Source organism: Homo sapiens, chromosome 6, assembly GCF_000001405.40.
Source record: "Homo sapiens chromosome 6, GRCh38.p14 Primary Assembly".
NCBI classification, from domain to species: domain Eukaryota; kingdom Metazoa; phylum Chordata; class Mammalia; order Primates; family Hominidae; genus Homo; species Homo sapiens.
This window is the reverse complement of record NC_000006.12, coordinates 42,677,134-42,694,976: the sequence shown is the minus strand read 5'-3', so window position 1 is coordinate 42,694,976 and position 17,843 is coordinate 42,677,134. Positions and strand designations below refer to the sequence as shown.

The window sequence follows — 17,843 nt, the reverse complement described above, 5'->3', positions numbered from 1 at the left end:
GCTATTTACCTGAGGGAAGTGAAAATTCAGGTTTGTACAAAAACCCATCCATGAATGTTTGTAGCAGTAATCACCAAAACAATCACCCAAACTCACCCAAATGCCCTTCATCTGGCAACTGCCCAGAAGTCTGTACAACGGAATGCTACTCAGCAATCCAAAGGAACAGGGAGGACCCGAATGCATTCTTCTTTAGTGAGAAGCCAGACTCAAAATGCTACATATGATACAATTCCATTTATATAACATTCGGGAAGAGACAAAACAAAGGGAGAGAAAAACACTGGTAGCTGAAAGCCAGGATGAGGCAAGAAGCTGACTACAAAGGGGACTTTTGGGGAAGATGGAATTGTTCTATTTCTCGATTGTGGTTGTTTAACTGTATGCATTTGTTAAAATGTATAAAACTGTACACTAAAAAGAGTTAATCTGTTTGTAAAATATACCTCAATAAATGTGACTTAAAAAACAAGAGTAGGAACAGGCCAGGCACAGTGGTTCACACCTATAATCCTAGCATTTGGGAGGCTGAGGCGGGAGAATCATTTGAGCCCAAGGGTTCAAGACCAGCCTGGGCAACATAGCGCGGCTGTATCTACAAAAAAAATACAAAAATTAGCCAGGTGTGGTGGCATGTGCCTCTATAGTACCAGCTACTGGGAGGCTGAGGTGGGAGGATTGCTCGAGCCCAGAAGGTTGAGGCTGCAGTGAACCAAGGCTGTGCCACTGCACTCCAGCCTGTGGGACAAAGCAAGACCCTGTCTCTTTAAAAAAACCAAACCAAACCACCACCACACCAAAATCAAGAGTAGGAAGACAGGGAGGAGCATGTCAGAAGGGGCTTCATGAGTTCCTGGAACTAAAGACAAGAGTGGTGAAGGCAGTAGGCTGGGAGCAGTGTTACTGACCAGGAGGCAGGGTGAGTGCAATGGAAACCTTGCTGTTTTAGTTTGATGCTCTCAAGAGGATTTCAAAAAAAACAGAATTCTCATGGGCAATGACTCCCCTAGGAAGACAGTGTAGCTGCCTTTCTATGTCTCTCTCTCAAAAGCAGGAAGTGGTCATAAAAAAAAGAAAAAAAAAACCTCCAACAGCCCTGAAAAACCAGCCAGCACACTAGGGGAGTGTGTAAGGACAAGGACCTTGAGATCACCAGGTAAGGATGAACAAGAGTTTAAACCCAGACACAGGTCTTGGAGTGCCCTGTTTCCCAGTGATTTGAGTTCCAAAATGGTCCACAAAGGTCACACGCTGTCATGGCTAATGAATATGAAACTTAATCAGCTGAAATGATGATCACACTTTCTCTGAGAAGGTCAAGATAGTTTGGCTAGTGGCCATAATAATATAACCCTCTTAAATTTAAAGCTAATACAGATATCCCACTATATTTGTAGCAAGGTGACACGGGCACCTTGCTGTGGCAGGTAAATGTGTAAAATGAAACAGAAAGATATATGCTAACCAAAAGTAATGCCAACACCTAAAGCATTTATTTGGATATCTTTAAACTTTTTACATATGATACATTCCAAATTTTACAAGTTGTCCACAGATATTAAAGTTATAGCCAATTTATTAAACAGATATGATTTTCCCTGATATGGAAAGCGTATGTTATATAAACATTTCTACAATAAACATAAAACATGCGGAACAAATCATAAAACTAACATGATTTGTAAGGTAGGAAAGACAACTAGCTTAACACCAGAAAATAAAAAGGTGTGTATGTTGCAATTTCATGTAAATTCATCTTCTCCCAGGCTCTGTGATATTCTCAGAGAATGAAATCCAGAGACAACCTTTGCTAACTCCAGGCTCCTAGGAAGTCGGACCGGAAAGCTGGAGTATTGTTATGATTTGGTGAAAATGTTTATAATCCACTTGTACAGAGAGAAACCTGGTCTTATTATTTTAAATTTTAGCTTGGTGAACATATGAAAAAAAGCCAAAAGAAGCTTACCTTAAAAGCTAAAGAAACTGGATGTGACAGAGGCCAAAATAAACATGAATTATGCCACCTACAGCCCAAACAACCAGATCTTATGAATGAAGGCCAGAAAAAGGGGGAGAGAGGTGGACTCAAATGTGAATTTTCTTTCTATTGGTCCTCCTCTCAGCTGGGTGAGTCAGTCCCACGCAAGAATGGCGACGGTCATCCTCCTGTCAAGAGGGGGCGGTTCTTTCACACACTACCTTGGAGAGGAATGTGGCTTCTACATCCTCACTTCTTTTAGCTTCAGTTCCAGATTTCTGACCTTCTTCCTGTGATACTGTGGAGCATGCCTAGTTGACTGGTAGCTGAGTGGAACAAAACTTGTAGATGTAATTCAAAGAAAACTGATTGAAAGGGTCAGTTGCATTGGTTAAAAAAATCCAAGAGCCTCTTATTACTCATCTGTTCCTTAGCCCCACCTTAGACAGGCTCAGAATTTATTCCTCTACTAAGTCTTCAGTCACTCTCTGCATGTATTCAAGCTCTCAGCAGTCATACATCAAACAATAGTAGTTGTGTGGTACATAATAATTATAAGCTATTTTGTAAGTGGCTCTTGTTCTAGGAAGGCACCTCAGTAAGAACAATGATCAAAAAGAATAAAAAGCCTGGGTGCCAGACCATCCCAGGAATGCACTAAGTGAGCCAGCAAGGAAGCAGCAGCTTGTCTGTTCCAGGAAATGCTGGCTGGGTGGGAGTGGGTTCTCACCTTCTTCAGTGTTTGGCTTTAGATGATATACTCTGCCAATTTAGCCTTAGAAATAACAAGAGAATATCACTGTCTGAAACATTAGGGTATTCTAAAAGAATACAGATAAGAAAATTAGGATACTCTTTTAGAATACCTATTATTTTAAACTTAAGCTTGGTGAACATCTGAAAAAAAGCCAAAAGAAGCTTACCTTAAAAGCTCAAGAAACTGGATGTGACAGAGGCCAAAATAAATATCACTTATGCCAACCACAGCCCAAACAACCAGATCTTATGAAGGAAGGCCTCTCATCTAGATATTAGGATATCTAAAAGAATATCCTAAATTTTTAATCCATATTCTTTTAGAATATCCTAATTTTTCTTCCTAATTCTAAAAGAATATCCTAATTTTTTAGACCATCCTAAGTTTTTGGAAAGCCCTCTAAGTGAGTTTTCTCAAAGCCAAAAGTCTTGCCATAAAAAAAAAAAGAAAAAAAAAAAACCTCTAACAGCCCTGAAAAACCAGCCAGCACACCAGGAATCCACCTTCTCCCCACGGGCTTCTTCTGCATGTGTGTCCCCCAACTCTCTCATAGTCAATGGAGAGAAGGGAACACTGCCTTCAAAATCAACCACTTTGCTCCTAGGAGTAGGGTCCTGTCAGCAGAGGGGACACCAACCCAGTCCCAGTGTTGGGCCACTCAGTGGAACCAGGAAGTATGACCCAACAGACCACAGAGACTTTGTTCCCTGCCTCCGTTGAGTCAGCTTCGGACCCACGGTTCACTATCATCAATAACGTGAAATATCACATAATGGCTGGGACTATGCAGTCAGACCCCCACAAAGGGGCTGGGATCCAATCTAGGAAGAGAAGCTCCTTGCTCGATCTTAAAACCCAAGACATTATATTTGAGGGGCACAGCAAACAGTGCAAGAAAATCTGCTGATGGAAGATGATTTTCATCAGTCCTCAGAACCAGAAACTATAAAACTGGGAAGGAAAGTTTAAATAAAGAATTTATTTCCAAATTCAGCAGAACTTCTTTCTTTCTTAAAAAGCCAACTGGGTTAAAAAAATCCAAGTTTGTGTTTTTTGGTGGTGCAATAATTATAAATGTTGCCAGTCAATGCCAACCAGTGTCTGATTGGCTTCCTGTGCATGTCCAATTTCCTCTGTGACACTGTGTTGGTGCCAGAGCTTCTGAATCTTCTTGAATCGCTCTTTGCATAAATGTAAAGGATTTCCCCGTCTAGAAAGAGAAGACACATGTCACTCAGAATGTGTTCTGTTTATTCCTCTATTATAACCCAACCCTTCCTGATTTAGGCAAGGTTACAAGTTATTGGTTTTAGACTCCCTGCAACATTTCTGTCTGGCAGGTGACTGTGGCTATTAACAAAAACATCAGCTCTGACCCTTTGCCAAGAGCAGGTAAAAGGGAATAAGTGCTGAAATGAGGAAGGAAAGGTACACAAACCAGACTTACCCAGAGTGAGGTGAGGGAATAGAGGTTGCGGGGGATAAGGAGGGTCTGGGTTGAGAGGCTAAAACTACCAATTCATTGCCCATTTTGTTGGTAACGTGTAAAAAGGGAAGAGGGCAGAGGAGAACACAAAAGAAGAATTATAGGAGTAAAAATATTCCTCACAGATTTTACTAAGAGTGCAAAGAAAAAAGAAAAGAAAAGAAAAGAAAAACATTCCTCAGATGCAATCTTTCAGCCACAGTCTCAGTGAAGCAATCAAATGTGAGTAACTTCCAGGTCTAATTTAAACACAAGTGCAAGCTTTGGTGGGTTCCTGCCTGGGACCAGTGCCCTGAGCCAGGCACCTCTGCTCCTGTTTCTGAGCACAGCCATCCTCTCACTCACTAATCAGACTCTCCTCCTCCTAACAGCCCACGCTGAGAACAGTGGGAAGCACCAGCACTGGGTGGCATATGGGCATAGCCTCGCAGTCCAGCGCCTGGGGCAGCTCATCTACTTACCTTGCTTGGGTTTCTAGGCCTTTAACATCTGCTACTTAAGGCTGGACAGGCATATCTATGGCGGTTAAAACTTATACCTCCTTTAGACAAAAGAGATGGTCTGAAAGAAGTTCTTTAATAGTGCTTGGGGGAATTGTTAGCTTACAATATACTAAAGCTACCAGAGTAGAAGTAACTTAGCCTCAAATATTGTTATATTGTTCTTTATGTTTTAAATCTTTGTCCCCCAGATTTTAATGTAATAAGCACATTTGTTAGCAATTAAGATTTTCTCAAACACTGGGCTTCCTCTATACAAGGCCATACAAGTCAGAGTGGGCCATCCCTGGAGTGCTCTGAGCTGGGATGCTATATGGCAATTCAAACAGTTCTTTGGAGTGATAAATGGAATAAAGTTGCACTCTGTCCTATTCTCTTCCCTTACCTATCCTGATGTTCCTCATGGCATTCTGAAGGCTGGGAAAAGAACACCAAACCAGGCTGACAGGGCACCCTCCTTGGAAGACTCCACAGATAACACAGCCACCTCTTCCAGAACCACCTCAGCCCTCCACCCTCAGGACGTCACCACATACGGAAGGGCGCTGCAGGCCCTGAGTTAGCTAACTCAGGATGGGTTCTTACCTGAGTCCCTGGTCGGTCTCCCCATAGTCATCAAGGTAAGGAGGAGAATAAAAACAGCCTTTGGTTTTGCCAGCTAAAAATAGCACCTGACATTCCCGTACTCTGTAGAGAGATCAGTCATACGTTACACATTTACACATTAGTAACCAACATTTGTATTCAGTTCCAAATAGAATGAAGTCTTATAGTACTGATATTTAAACCACTATTAGGAGGAAGTTATCCATTAAAAAATTGTGCACAAACTAGGAAATAGGTTGAATCGAGTCAAATTTGTGTCCCCTGATCCCTTTGAGACATTTGCCTTTTTCTGGCATTAATAGTACAGCACAATTAAACAGACATTTATTGAGGACCTAATACGTATAAGAAATTATCAAGGTACTGGGGGGATGACTAAGCTATGGATACAACCTATGCTCCAGAGGAGCCCACACTCATGTCATGCCTCTGCTTCAAACCCTGAAATGGCTTACACCTTGCCCAGAGATGTCACCAGCACACAGCAGGCCCCTGGATTCTCTCACCTGTGCACAACACTCCAGTGACACGCGCCTCCTTGCCTTGAGCAGACAGGCACATTTCTACCCCAGGAACTGTGCAGAATGTTCTGAGTAGAATGTTCTCCCACTTCTTTAGGTCTTTACTCAGAAGTCATGTTCTTAGGAAGCCTTCCCTGATCTACTAAAATTAAATCTCAAATTTAGCTCCATAGCTGCCATTTCATATTCCCCTTCCCTGCTTTATTTTTTCTCCTTAGCCTATATCACTATCTAAATTCTTGTCAGTCTTGCTTGTCCTCTCTCTCATACAAAACAAGCTCCATCCATAAGGGCAGAGATCTTTGCACTGTGGACTACTGCATCCTCAATGCCTGGTACATAGTAGTCACTAATCACAAGCTGGCATGTAGAGTTGTGATAATATGTATAAGTGGAGGTAAAATCCAAAAGCCATGAGGACATAACAGAAAGAGTAATTCTGACTGGATTTGTTCAGAAAATCAGAGAAGTTTCACATTAGTGGGAGACATGGAGAAAGTAGAACAGAACTGTCACCTATGGTTGAGGGAAGAGGAGTGGGAATGGTAACAATAAAAGAACCAACACAGAGTTGGCATGGACCAGATGTGAGATGTGAGGCGACAAGGAGCTCCACGTTTCTGGAATGAATCACACGGAACAGTAGTCTCAAAATTCCTGGCAATATAGTAGTTTCCTGTGACACCCTAACAGTCAGATACTGAGGCAGATCCAAAGCTAAAAAGCCCCTGCAGGTCCTTACCTCAGGAAGATGCCCACTCCAGAGCCACAGGAGTAGGTGTGAGCTGTGCAGGCTCCTACATCCTCCCCTTCCAGTTCAGTCTGGCAGCAGTAACTCTGGGAGCACAGCAGAGATCCGCACACAAGGCACAGAGTTGGGGCTCTGCTCTTATCACCACCTGATTTCGGGCACCTCCAAGGGATAAAAAACCCACAAGTCATTGATCTAAAGAGTGGCTAAAGAGCTAGTGATGAAAAAACCAGCCCAGAAAAGAATTCTGCAATATCAAGTAAAGCCAAAGAAGTGTATATCCTACAGTCTATGCAAGTTTATTCCTAGAATCTGGAATAGGAAACATCTTGCACATATATACAAAGACCATGTACTGGAAACACTCAAAAGAATCAGTAACTGGAGAAAAAAAAATAAATAAAATCATCAATAGGAGAAAAAGATAAACGGTACCACTGCCATATAATAAAATACTATGGAGCAATGAAAAATCAATAAAGTTATAAACGTCAATACAGATAAATCTTAGAAACAATGCTGAATGAATGCAAAATTGGCTGGGTGCAGTGGCTCACGCCTGTAATCCCAGCACTTTGGGAGGCAAAGGTGGGTGGATCAACTGAGGTCAGGAGTTTGAGACCAGCCTGACCAATATGGTGAAACCCCGTCTCTACTAAAAATACAAAAATTAGCCAGGCATGGTGGTGTGCACCTGTAGTCCCAGCTACTTTGGAGGCTGAGACTGGAGAATCACTTGAACCTGGGAGGCGGAGGTTGCTGTGAGCCAAGATCACACCACTGCACTCCAGCCTGGGCAACAGAGTGAGACCCTGTCTCAATAAATAAATAAATAAATAAATAAATAAAATAAAATACAACATACAGCTCTCCCTCTCCCTCTCTTCTCTCCCTCTCCCCTTTGCACAGTCTCCCTCTGATGCCGAGCCGAGGCTGGACTGTACTGCCGCCATCTTGGCTCACTGCAACCTCCCTGCCTGATTCTCCTGTCTCAGCCTGCCCAGTGCCTGGGATTGCAGGCGCGCGCCGCCACGCCTGACTGGTTTTTGTATTTTTTGGTGGAGACGGGGTTTCGCCGTGTTGGCCGGGCTGGTCTCCAGCTCCTGACGGCGAGTGATCTGCCAGCCTCGGCCTCCCGAGGTGCCAGGATTGCAGAGGGAGTCTTGCTCACTCAGTGCTCAATGTTGCCCAGGCTGGAGTGCAGTGGCGCGATCTCGGCTCGCTACAACCTCCACCTCCCAGCCGCCTGCCTTGGCCTCCCAAAGTGCGGAGATTGCAGCCTCTGCCCGGCCGCCACCCCGTCTAGGAAGTGACGAGCGTCTCTGCCCGGCCGCCCAGTCTGAGAAGTGAGGAGCCCCTCTTCCTGGCCGTCATCCCGTCTAGGAAGTGAGGAGCGTCTCTGCCCGGCCGCCCATCGTCTGGGATGTGGGGAGCGCCTCTGCCCCGCCGCCCCGTCTGGGATGTGAGGAGCGCCTCTGCCCGGCCGCGACCCTGTCTGGGAGGTGAGGAGTGTCTCCGACCGGCTGCCCCGTCTGAGAAGTGAGGAGCCCCTCCGCCCGGCAGCCGCCCCGTCTGGGAAGTGAGGAGCGTCTCCGCCCAGCAGCCGCCCAGTCCGGGAGGTGGGGGGCAGCCCCTACCCGGCCAGCTGCCCCGTCCGGGAGGTGGGGGGCAGCTCCCACCCGGCCAGCCGCCCCGTCCGGGAGGTGGGGGGCGCCTCTGCCCGGCTGCCCCGTCTGGGAAGTGAGGAGCCTCTCTACCTGGCCGCCACCCCATCTGGGAGGTGCAACCAACAGCTCATTGACAACAGGCCGTGATGACGATGGCGGTTTTGTCGAATAGAAAAGGGGGAAATGTGGGGAAAAGAAAGAGAGATCAGATTGTTACTGTGTCTGTGTAGAAAGAAGTAGACATAGGAGACTCCATTTTGTTCTGTACTAAGAAAAATTCTTCTGCCTTGGGATGCTGTTAATCTATAACCTTACCCCCAACCCCGTGCTCTCTGAAACATGTGCTGTGTCCACTAAGGGTTAAATGGATTAAGGGCGGTGCAAGATGTGCTTTGTTAAACAGATGCTTGAAGGCAGCATGCTCGTTAAGAGTCATCACCACTCCCTAATCTCAAGTACCCAGGGACACAAACACTGCGGAAGGCCGCAGGGACCTCTGCCTAGGAAAACCAGAGACCTTTGTTCACATCTTTATCTGCTGACCTTCCCTCCACTATTGTCCTATGACCCTGCCAAATCCCCCCCTCCGAGAAACACCCAAGAATGATCAATAAATACTAATTAAAAAAAAAACATACAAAATAACAATACATGCTGCTCAAGAATAGAAACTTATATAGTTAATGTATAGGAATGGAATGCTTAATATTCCATTTAGAATAGTAGGTATCTTCAGAGGGAGGAGAAAGAGGCAACAGAGAAGAGACAGCTGGGGAGCTTCAACTGTCTAGGTAATGTTTAAGCTCTTACATTATTATATTCTTCTTTTTTTTTTTGAGACAAGGTCTCGCTGTCACCCAGGCTAGAGTGCAGTGGCACGATCATGACTAACTGCAGCCTCCATCTCCTGGGCTCGAGTGATACTCCCACCTCAGCCTCCCCTATTATATTATTCTTTATGCTGCTTGTATGTTAAATATTTGATACTATATTAAAAATTACTGCCGGGTGTAGTGGCTCATGCCTGTAATCCCAGCACTTTGGGAGGCTGAGGTGATACTAAAAATACAAAAAAAAAATTAGCTGGGCGTTGTGGTGCATGCCTGTAATCCCAGCTACTCAGGAGGCTGAGGTACAAGAATCACTAGCATCTGGGAGGCGGAGGTTGCAGCGAGCCAAGGTTGCACCACTGCACTCCATCCTGGGCAACAGAGCGAGACTCGTCTCAAAAAAAAAAAAAAATTACTAAGGGCTGTTATTACTTTAAGTGCAATTATTAAACATTCATGAATCAAATTTGCTTCTCCTACTCCCATTCCATGTCTTATTCTGAAACATAGTGAAATGATGCTTTTATAAGTTATGTAGTATAGAGTACTACAGATGTTATTCATTTTTTGAGACAGAGTTTTGCTTTTGTCACCCAGGCTGGAGTGTAATTGCTCAATCTTGGCTCACTACAACCTCTGCCTCTCAGGTTCAAGTGATTCTCCTGCCTCAGCCTCCCGAGTAGCTGCGATTACAGGCGCCTGCCACCATGCCCCGCTAATTCTGTATTTTTAGTAGAGACAGGGTTTCACCAAGGGTTTGGCCAGGCTGGAACTCCTGACCTCAGGTGATCCACCCACCTCGGCCTCCCAAAGTGCTGGGATTACAGGCGTGAGCCACCGTGCCTCGCCAAGTTTCTTCTTTTTTTCCTTTTTTCTCCCTCTCCTCTCATAAAGGACTACAGATATGATTTCTCTACCCAAACAAAGAACAACAACAAAATCCTTCAAATTCTTTGTAGAGAGGTGTTTCCAGTGGCAGGGAATGTTCAATGCTAACAGCAAAACTTACGAGAAATTGGATGCTTGATTAATGAGGCTGCTGTAATCCTCTGGAAGGTTTATTAATTTGTTAGATTCTCTTGGATATCTGAAAAAAAGAGAAAAATTAAAGAACACTCCATTAATTTAGGTCATATTATACTATGAGGCACTTCCATGTGCACATACCTGCCTAGCCCGGGTAACATGGTATGGCCTTTCACTACTTTACCTATTGCCAAGACAAGAAATGGAGTTAAACTGAAGGGGGGATTATTTTAGACAGTTTTTTTTTTGTTTTTGTTTTTTGTTTTTTTTTTGAGACGGAGTCTAGCTCTGTGCCCAGGCTGGAGTGCAGTGGCGCAATCTTGGCTCACTGCAACCTCCGCCTCCCGGGTTCATGCTATTCTCCTGCCTCAGCCTCCCGAGTAGCTGGGACTACAGGCACCCGCCACCATGCCCAGCTAATTTTTTGTATTTTTTTTTTTTTAGTAGAGACAGGGTTTCACCGTATTAGCCAGGATGGTCTTGATCTCCTGACCTCGTGATCTGCCCGCCTCGGCCTCCCAAAATGCTGGGATTACAGGCGTGAGCCAATGTGCTCGGCTAGACAGTAGTTCTTAATCATATCAAAATCACTTGGGGGAATTTTGAGGGGACAGACATGCTAGGGCTTTAACTTTAGAGAAATTAGATTCAGTAGGTAGTGGCCTGAGTATTTTTTCAAAAGTTCCCAAGGTTATTCTGATGTATACTTCTAGTTGAGGATTACTGTTCCATTTATTAAGAGTTTTCTGACGTCAGGGTGGAATCACATGAAATTGTGATATTCAACCATTTTTGACTGATAAAAATTGACATTTCATGTGGTCCAAACTAATAAAATTGGGGTGTTATTTCTGGATGTGTAAAAGCAAACAAATAGGACAGATAATCTCTAGTCTTCTGACTTTTATGGACGATGTATTTACCAGAACTAAGAGATATGGGTTGAGTATCCCTTATCTGAGATGCTTGGGACCAGAAGTGCTTTGGGTTTTGAATTCTTTTAGAGTTTGGAATGTTTGCATTACTTCTGTTTGGATTCTGTAGTAAAGCATACTCTACCAGATAACAACAAATGCATTTCAATTGTTAATCCAGGTTGAGTATCTCTACTGTTAAAACCTGAAATCTGAAATGCTCCATAATTTGAAACTTTTTGAGTGCCAACATGATGCTTAAAGGAATGCTCATGGGGACATTCCAAATTTCAGATTTTTGGATTAGAGATGCGCAACTTGTATAGTAACAATTGAGACACATCTTGTTAGGATCTGGTAGAGCACACTTTACTATAGAATCAGAATAGAATGTAAAAAGAAATGAAGAAAAAATAATTATAAGAAATGACTGGCCATGATTTGACTGATAGTTATTGAAGGTGAATGACAAGTATGTGGAGCCTCATTATTTTACTCTTCACACTTCTGGAGAGTTTTCCCATAATGAAAGATAGAAAAAAATAGAGCTAAGAAAAACCTAGGAGACGTGTTATATTTTTTAAAGCAAATATCCTAAAATATAACTTTGTTATTTGCTTTCTCTGCCAAGAATGTAGTATATTTATGTTCATAATTCTGACTTTGATAGACTCTCATTAGATTAAGAAGAAAATATGAAGGCAACATATCTTAACCTTTTGGAATCACTAAAGGCTTGAGAAGTCAGTTTCTGAAGGAATATAGCACTTATATCCTGATTCCACCCTTTCTCCCACCTCAATAAAGTTTTTGAGGCTCTTTAACTTACCTTATAGCATCTCTTTCACCTTCTAGATATCTTTTAACTTCACTGTTACGGCACCAACTTTAATGTAAACAGAGGGGGAAAAACACAAAACACTTTTAAAGGGTTAGAACTAGAATTTTTTCCCCTCCATAGCCAATAAGAGGAAAATAATATTCTTGACCTAACATATTTACTTCATCAAAAGAAACCTGTAGAAATACTATTTTGCCTACAACTTTTAAAATCAGGAGAATATTTTCTAAAAGCAAGAATGCTTAAATATATACAATTTGTGACTATAAACATCATTATCTTACTAATTTGGATACTCTAGAAAAACTAGTCTATATTAATTTGTATTAATGCCAAGCTAACATTATCTGGAGCTAGAACATTCATATTAAAAATAAAACTTTTTTGGCCAGGTGCTCATGCCTGTAATCCCTGCACTTTCGGAGGCTGAGGCGGGAAGATTACTTGATCCCAGGAGTTTGAGACCAGCCTGGGCAATATGGCAAAAGCCCTTCTCTACTAAAAATACAAAAATTAGCTGGGTGTGGTGGCATGTGCCTGTAGTCGCAGCTACTTGGGAAGCTGAGGCAGGAGGAGTGCTTGAACCCAGGAGGATGAGCTGTGACTGTGCCAGTGCACTCAAGCCTGGGTGACAGAGTGAGACTTAAAAAAAAAAAAATTTTTTTTTTTAGTGTGGTAAAATATATATAACATAAAAATGACCATGTTAACCACTTCAAAGTCTAATGTTCTGTAGCATTAAGTACCTTCATATTGTTGTGCAACCAGCACCACCATCCATCTCCAGAACATTTTCATCTTTCCCAACTGAAACTCTGTACTCATTAAATGCAAAATTCCTTCTCCCAGCCCCTGGGAACCACCATTCTACTTTCTGTTTCTATAAATTTGACTACTCTAGGTACCTCAGTGAAGTGGAATCATACAGTATTTATCCTTTTGTGACTGGCTTATTTCACTTAGCACACGTCCTCAAGGTTCATCCACGTTGTAGCATGTGTGAGAATTTTCTTTACTTTTCTTTTTGAGACAGAGTCTTGCTCTGTCACTCAGGCTGGAGTGCAGTGGCGTAATCTTGGCTCACTGCAACCTCCGCCTCCCAGGTTCAAGTGATTCTCCTGCCTCAGCCTCCCGAGTAGCTGGGACTACAGGCGTGCACCACCACACCTGGCCTACTTTTAAGACTGAATAATAGTCCATTGTGTGTGTGTACACACCACATTTTGTGCATCCATTCATCTGTTGAACATCTGAGTTGGTTCCATTTTTTGGCTATCATGAATAATGCTGCTATAAATGTGGGTGTATAATATTGATCTGAGTTCCTGCTTTCAGTTATTTTGTAATCTGTACCTAGAAGTGGAATTGCTGAATCATAAGGTAACTTTATGTTTATCTTTTTGAGGAACTGTCATGCTGTCTTCCGTAGTGGCTCTATCATTTTCTATATCCCATGCACAAGGATACCAGTATACCAGTTTTTCCACATCCTTGTAAACATTTGTAATTTTCTTTTTTTAAAAAAGTAATAGCTCACCTAATGGGTGTGAAGTGGTATGTCAGTGTGATTTCCCCAGTGACTAGTGATGTTGAGCATCTTTTCGTATGCTTTTTTGGCTATTTATCTTCTTTGGAGAAATGCCTATTTAAGCCCTTTACCTATTTTTTAATTGGGTTTTATTTTTGTTGTTGTTGTAGGAATTCTGGATATATATAGTCTGGATTTTTTCTTTTGATACAGGGTCTTGATCTGTCATCCAGGCTGGAGTGGAATGGCATGCAGCTCACTGTAGCCTCGACCTCCAGGGCTCAAGTGATCCTCCCACTTCAGCCTCCTGACAGGTACATGTCAGCATGCCTAATGTTTAAATTTTTTGTAGAGATGGGGTTTCGCCATGTTACCCAGGCTGGTCTTTCTTTTTTTTTTTTTTTTTTTTGAGACGGAGTCTCGCTTTGTCCCCCAGGCTGGAGTGCAGTGGCATGATCTCGGCTCACTGCAAGCTCCGCCTCCCGGGTTCACGCCATTCTCCTGCCTCAGCCTCCCGAGTAGCTGGGATTACAGGCACCTACCAACACACCTGGCTAATTTTTTGTATTTTTAGTAGAGACGGGGTTTCATCGTGTTAGCCAGGATGGTCTCGATCTCCTGACCTCGTGATCCGCCCGTCTGGGCCTCCCAAAGTGCTGCGGATTACAGGCGTGAGCCACCGCGCCCCCGCCCCAGGCTGGTCTTGAACTTCTGGGCTCAAGTGATCCTCCCACTTCTGCCTCCCAAAGTGCTGGGATTACAGGGGTGAGCCACTGTGCCCGGCCTATTCTGGATGTTAATCCCTTATCAGATATGTAGTTTGCAAATATTTTCCCCCGTTTTGTGGACAGAACAGCCATATATTTAACTCAGTCACTAACTTGACATGATTGACAGGCCAATTTCTCTAGACTTCACTTTTCTCAAATATAAAGTTGAGGGTATTGGACTAGATAGCCTTAAGGGTTCTTTCAGCTTTAAAAATCTATGAAAAGCTGAGTGTGATGGCATGTGCCTGCAGTCCCAGCTACTCAGGAGGCTGAGGTGGGAGGAATGTCTCAGCCCAGGAGTTCAAAGGCAGTCTGGAAAAAATGGCAAAACCCCATCTCTTAAAAACAAAAACAAGAAAAAACCTATGGAAGAGAGTCCTTAACAAGTAAGTTCATGTAAAGAAATCAACATTTCTACCACTATTCCCCTTCCATGCAAATTTGTTTATGCTATTCACTAGCTTGGCAAAAAGTTTACTGAAAAGCCAGATCCTTAGCTAAAAAGGCCTACTCATAGGCCAGGTGCGGTGGCTCACACCTGTAATCCCAGCACTTTGGAAGGCCGAGGTGGGTGAATCATTTGAGGTCAGGAGTTCGAGACCAGCCTGACCAACATGGTGGTCAAAGAACTAGCCAGGCATGGTGGTGTATGCCTGTAACCCCAGCTACTTGGGAGGCCGAGGCAGGAGAATCCCCTGAACCCAGGAGGTGGAGGTTGCAGTGAGCCAAGATCATGCCACTGCACTCCAGCCTGGGTGACAGAGCAAGACTCAGTCTCAAAACAAAAACAAAAACAAAAACAAAACAAAACAAAACAAACAACAACAAAAGGCCCACCCATTATAGTTTGAATTATTTGTGTTGAATTCTACCAGGGTCATTACTTGAGAATTTTGCTACATATGTGATAACTAAAGTTTGGTTCCATAGAGCTATTTAATACAACAAAGAAAAGTATATAATCATTACCTTTCAATCAGTGAATTCATTATCTCACTATTTTCTTGAAAAAGGCAAATGAGGTTGTTTGGTAGGGAAAGATAGCTACATAAATGTTCAAAATGGCTTGTTCCAGGAACTGCAAATGAAGAACAAGAAAAGAGTGCATATAACAACTAAGGGCATATTCTGCATGAGAGTTAAGCAATAGCAGAGTTTAAAAAAAAAGGATGAAAGACTTCCAATTTGCCAGGTACGTAACTTGTAGGAAGTTAACAGAATGGCACATGGAAGGAATCCATGGAAAATGACGCAATGCGTCAAGTGCAGTCAGGCGACTCCTACATCAAACTGGTCCCAATGTCCTGGTGTCTCGGCTTTATCATTTGCAAAATGGTGTGCCTGCACAATCTACTGCACAGGGTTATTGTGAACATTAAATGATAAAAATGTATGGGTGCTCTGGAAAAGGATCAACCAATACAGAAATACAAGATGGTTTTACCACGAGACACAGATTTAAATACCAACTCTAATCATCACTGCAAATAATCTGGAAGACTAAACTCTTTTATATGGTTCCTAGGCAACTAGCTAAATGGAAATGCCAGTGGACAAACTTTCAGAGAGTAGCACTGCATGCAGGTACTCTACGGCCAGTGCCAGGCACTGTGGGATACAGAGATACAGTCAAGTCCACATTCATACTACTTTTATGAAATGAATCAAAACAGAACATGGAAAACAACTATGAAAGAGCAAATCAATTCCCAGATTAAAATCAGATTTATGTGCAATTATGGGTATTCTAAATTTTAATGCTATGCATGTTTCAAGTTAAAAATCACTTGAAATTGTCAGTTTTCACCTTTTCAAATCTGAGGAACCTTGTTTATGAATAATACATAACTGAACATTTTAACATCTGAAAGCAAAACTATGATCTTTACGGGAGAAGGGCTTTGCAGGTGTAAAAACATTTACACAGAAGTTTAACAGTCATTTACTGAGATCCAAATAAATGGAGACATATGCATAAACATACATTTTATGCTATAAATGTGTACATCACCATAGTCAATAAGCTATTCTTTGAACTTTTAGTCAATTTTCATTTTTGCAAGTGATCTTTATATTTGCTGGAGTAAAGGATTACTAACTCTCCCTACGTTTTGAAAGAAAGTATAAATTACCTTGAATGTCGGGTGGGGAAGGAACTCCATTTAAGTAATGAAAAAATAAAGCAGAACACTTCAGGAAAGGCATGATTCCAGCTCTGACACTCCTCCACAGATGCCAGCCGGATGGTATTTCTTTCAAGGCACTAAAAAAGAAAAAAAAGATTATTGGGAAATCTACTAAGAAAAGGTCACTGTACTTATAGTGTGAAAACAGACTTGACTGTCATTTGGAACTGATGGCATGTATGCTTAAAAGTTGTGAGTTAACAGGCAAGTGGGTGTGTGTTATTATAGGATGCCAGGTGTAAGTGGTGACACAGCCTCCAATGCTGTTATTAAATTTTTTGAGACGGAGTCTCGCTCTGTCGCCCAGGCTGGAGTGCAGTGGCACAATCTCGGCTCACTGCAAGCTCTGCCTCCTGGGTTCACGCCATTCTCCTGCCTCAGCCTCCTGAGTAGCTGGGACTACAGGTGCCTGCCACCACGCCCGGCTAATTTTTTGTATTTTTAGTAGAGACGGGGTTTCGCTGTGTTAGCCAGGATGGTCTCGATCTCCTGATCTTGTGATCTGCCCGCCTTGGCCTCCCAAAGTGCTGGGATTACAGGTGTGATGTTATTAAAATTTATAAAAGTAACATAGTGACATAAAGAGAAAATGTGGAAAATGAAAAGTTGTCCAGGCTGGACTCAAACTACTGGGCTCCAGCAATCCTCCCACCTCAGCCTCCTGAGCAGCTGGGACTACAGGCACATGCCACTGCACCCAGCTCCTAGGAGCCATATTTTAAATAGATTTATAATATTTTGGAACACATTCATCACTATATCAAACTATTCCCCTGCAAACACTTAGATTGCTTTCAATTATTTGCTAATATAAATAATATCAGAGTGTACATCTTTTTCTTTTTGAGACAGGGTCTCACTCTTTTGTCCAGTCTGGAGTGCAGTGGTGTGATGGCTCACTGCAGCCTTCACCTGCCTGGGTGATCTGACTACCTCAACCTCCTGAGAAGATAGAACCACAGGCACATGCTACCATGCCTGGCTAATTTTTGTATTTTTTGGTAGAGACAGGGTTTCACCATGTTGGCCAGGCTGGTCTCAAATGCCTGGGCTCAAGCAATCTGCCAGCCTCATTCTCCCAAAGTGCTGGGATTATAGGGGTGAGACACCGTGCCTGGCTGGAGTGTCCATCTTTATATGCCTATATGTTTTTTTTCTATATGTTGAATTATTTTGTTAATGTAGGTTCTCAGAAATGGGATAGTCAAAAAACAGACATTTTTATAGGTTCCTGACTACAGATTCTTGACATATATACTGTTGAAAGCTAAGCAAACTACTGAATTGCTATTTGTAGCAAATCATGACTCTAACCATACATGGAATTCTAATAATTTCATTTTATTCCTGCTACTACTGAATATTACCTTAAAAATAAATTATGCCAATTTAACTTGCAGTTTTAAATTCCCATTCTGAATGAGACAACATAAGTTTTAGAGTATCAACTTTCCAAAGTACATTTGATCTATCCTCTAGTCT

General features: G+C 42.6%; 1 protein-coding gene across 8 annotated transcripts in view; it reads right to left on the bottom strand.

Moving 5' to 3' along the window:
- The window catches only part of UBR2 (ubiquitin protein ligase E3 component n-recognin 2), a 129,477-nt gene continuing 113,105 nt past the window's right edge, over nt 1,472-17,843 (bottom strand). For 7 of the 8 annotated variants that reach the window (XM_017010594.2, XM_011514438.3, NM_015255.3 and 4 more), the window contains 7 exons: nt 16,308-16,438; nt 15,145-15,253; nt 11,866-11,922; nt 10,106-10,183; nt 6,591-6,761; nt 5,307-5,408; nt 1,472-3,945 (listed from right to left, as the gene is read on the bottom strand). In XM_017010594.2, coding sequence (XP_016866083.1) covers nt 3,804-3,945; nt 5,307-5,408; nt 6,591-6,761; nt 10,106-10,183; nt 11,866-11,922; nt 15,145-15,253; nt 16,308-16,438 — 790 coding nt within the window. In that variant the 3' untranslated portion in view covers nt 1,472-3,803. The other variant, XM_047418493.1, reaches the window with a different exon arrangement.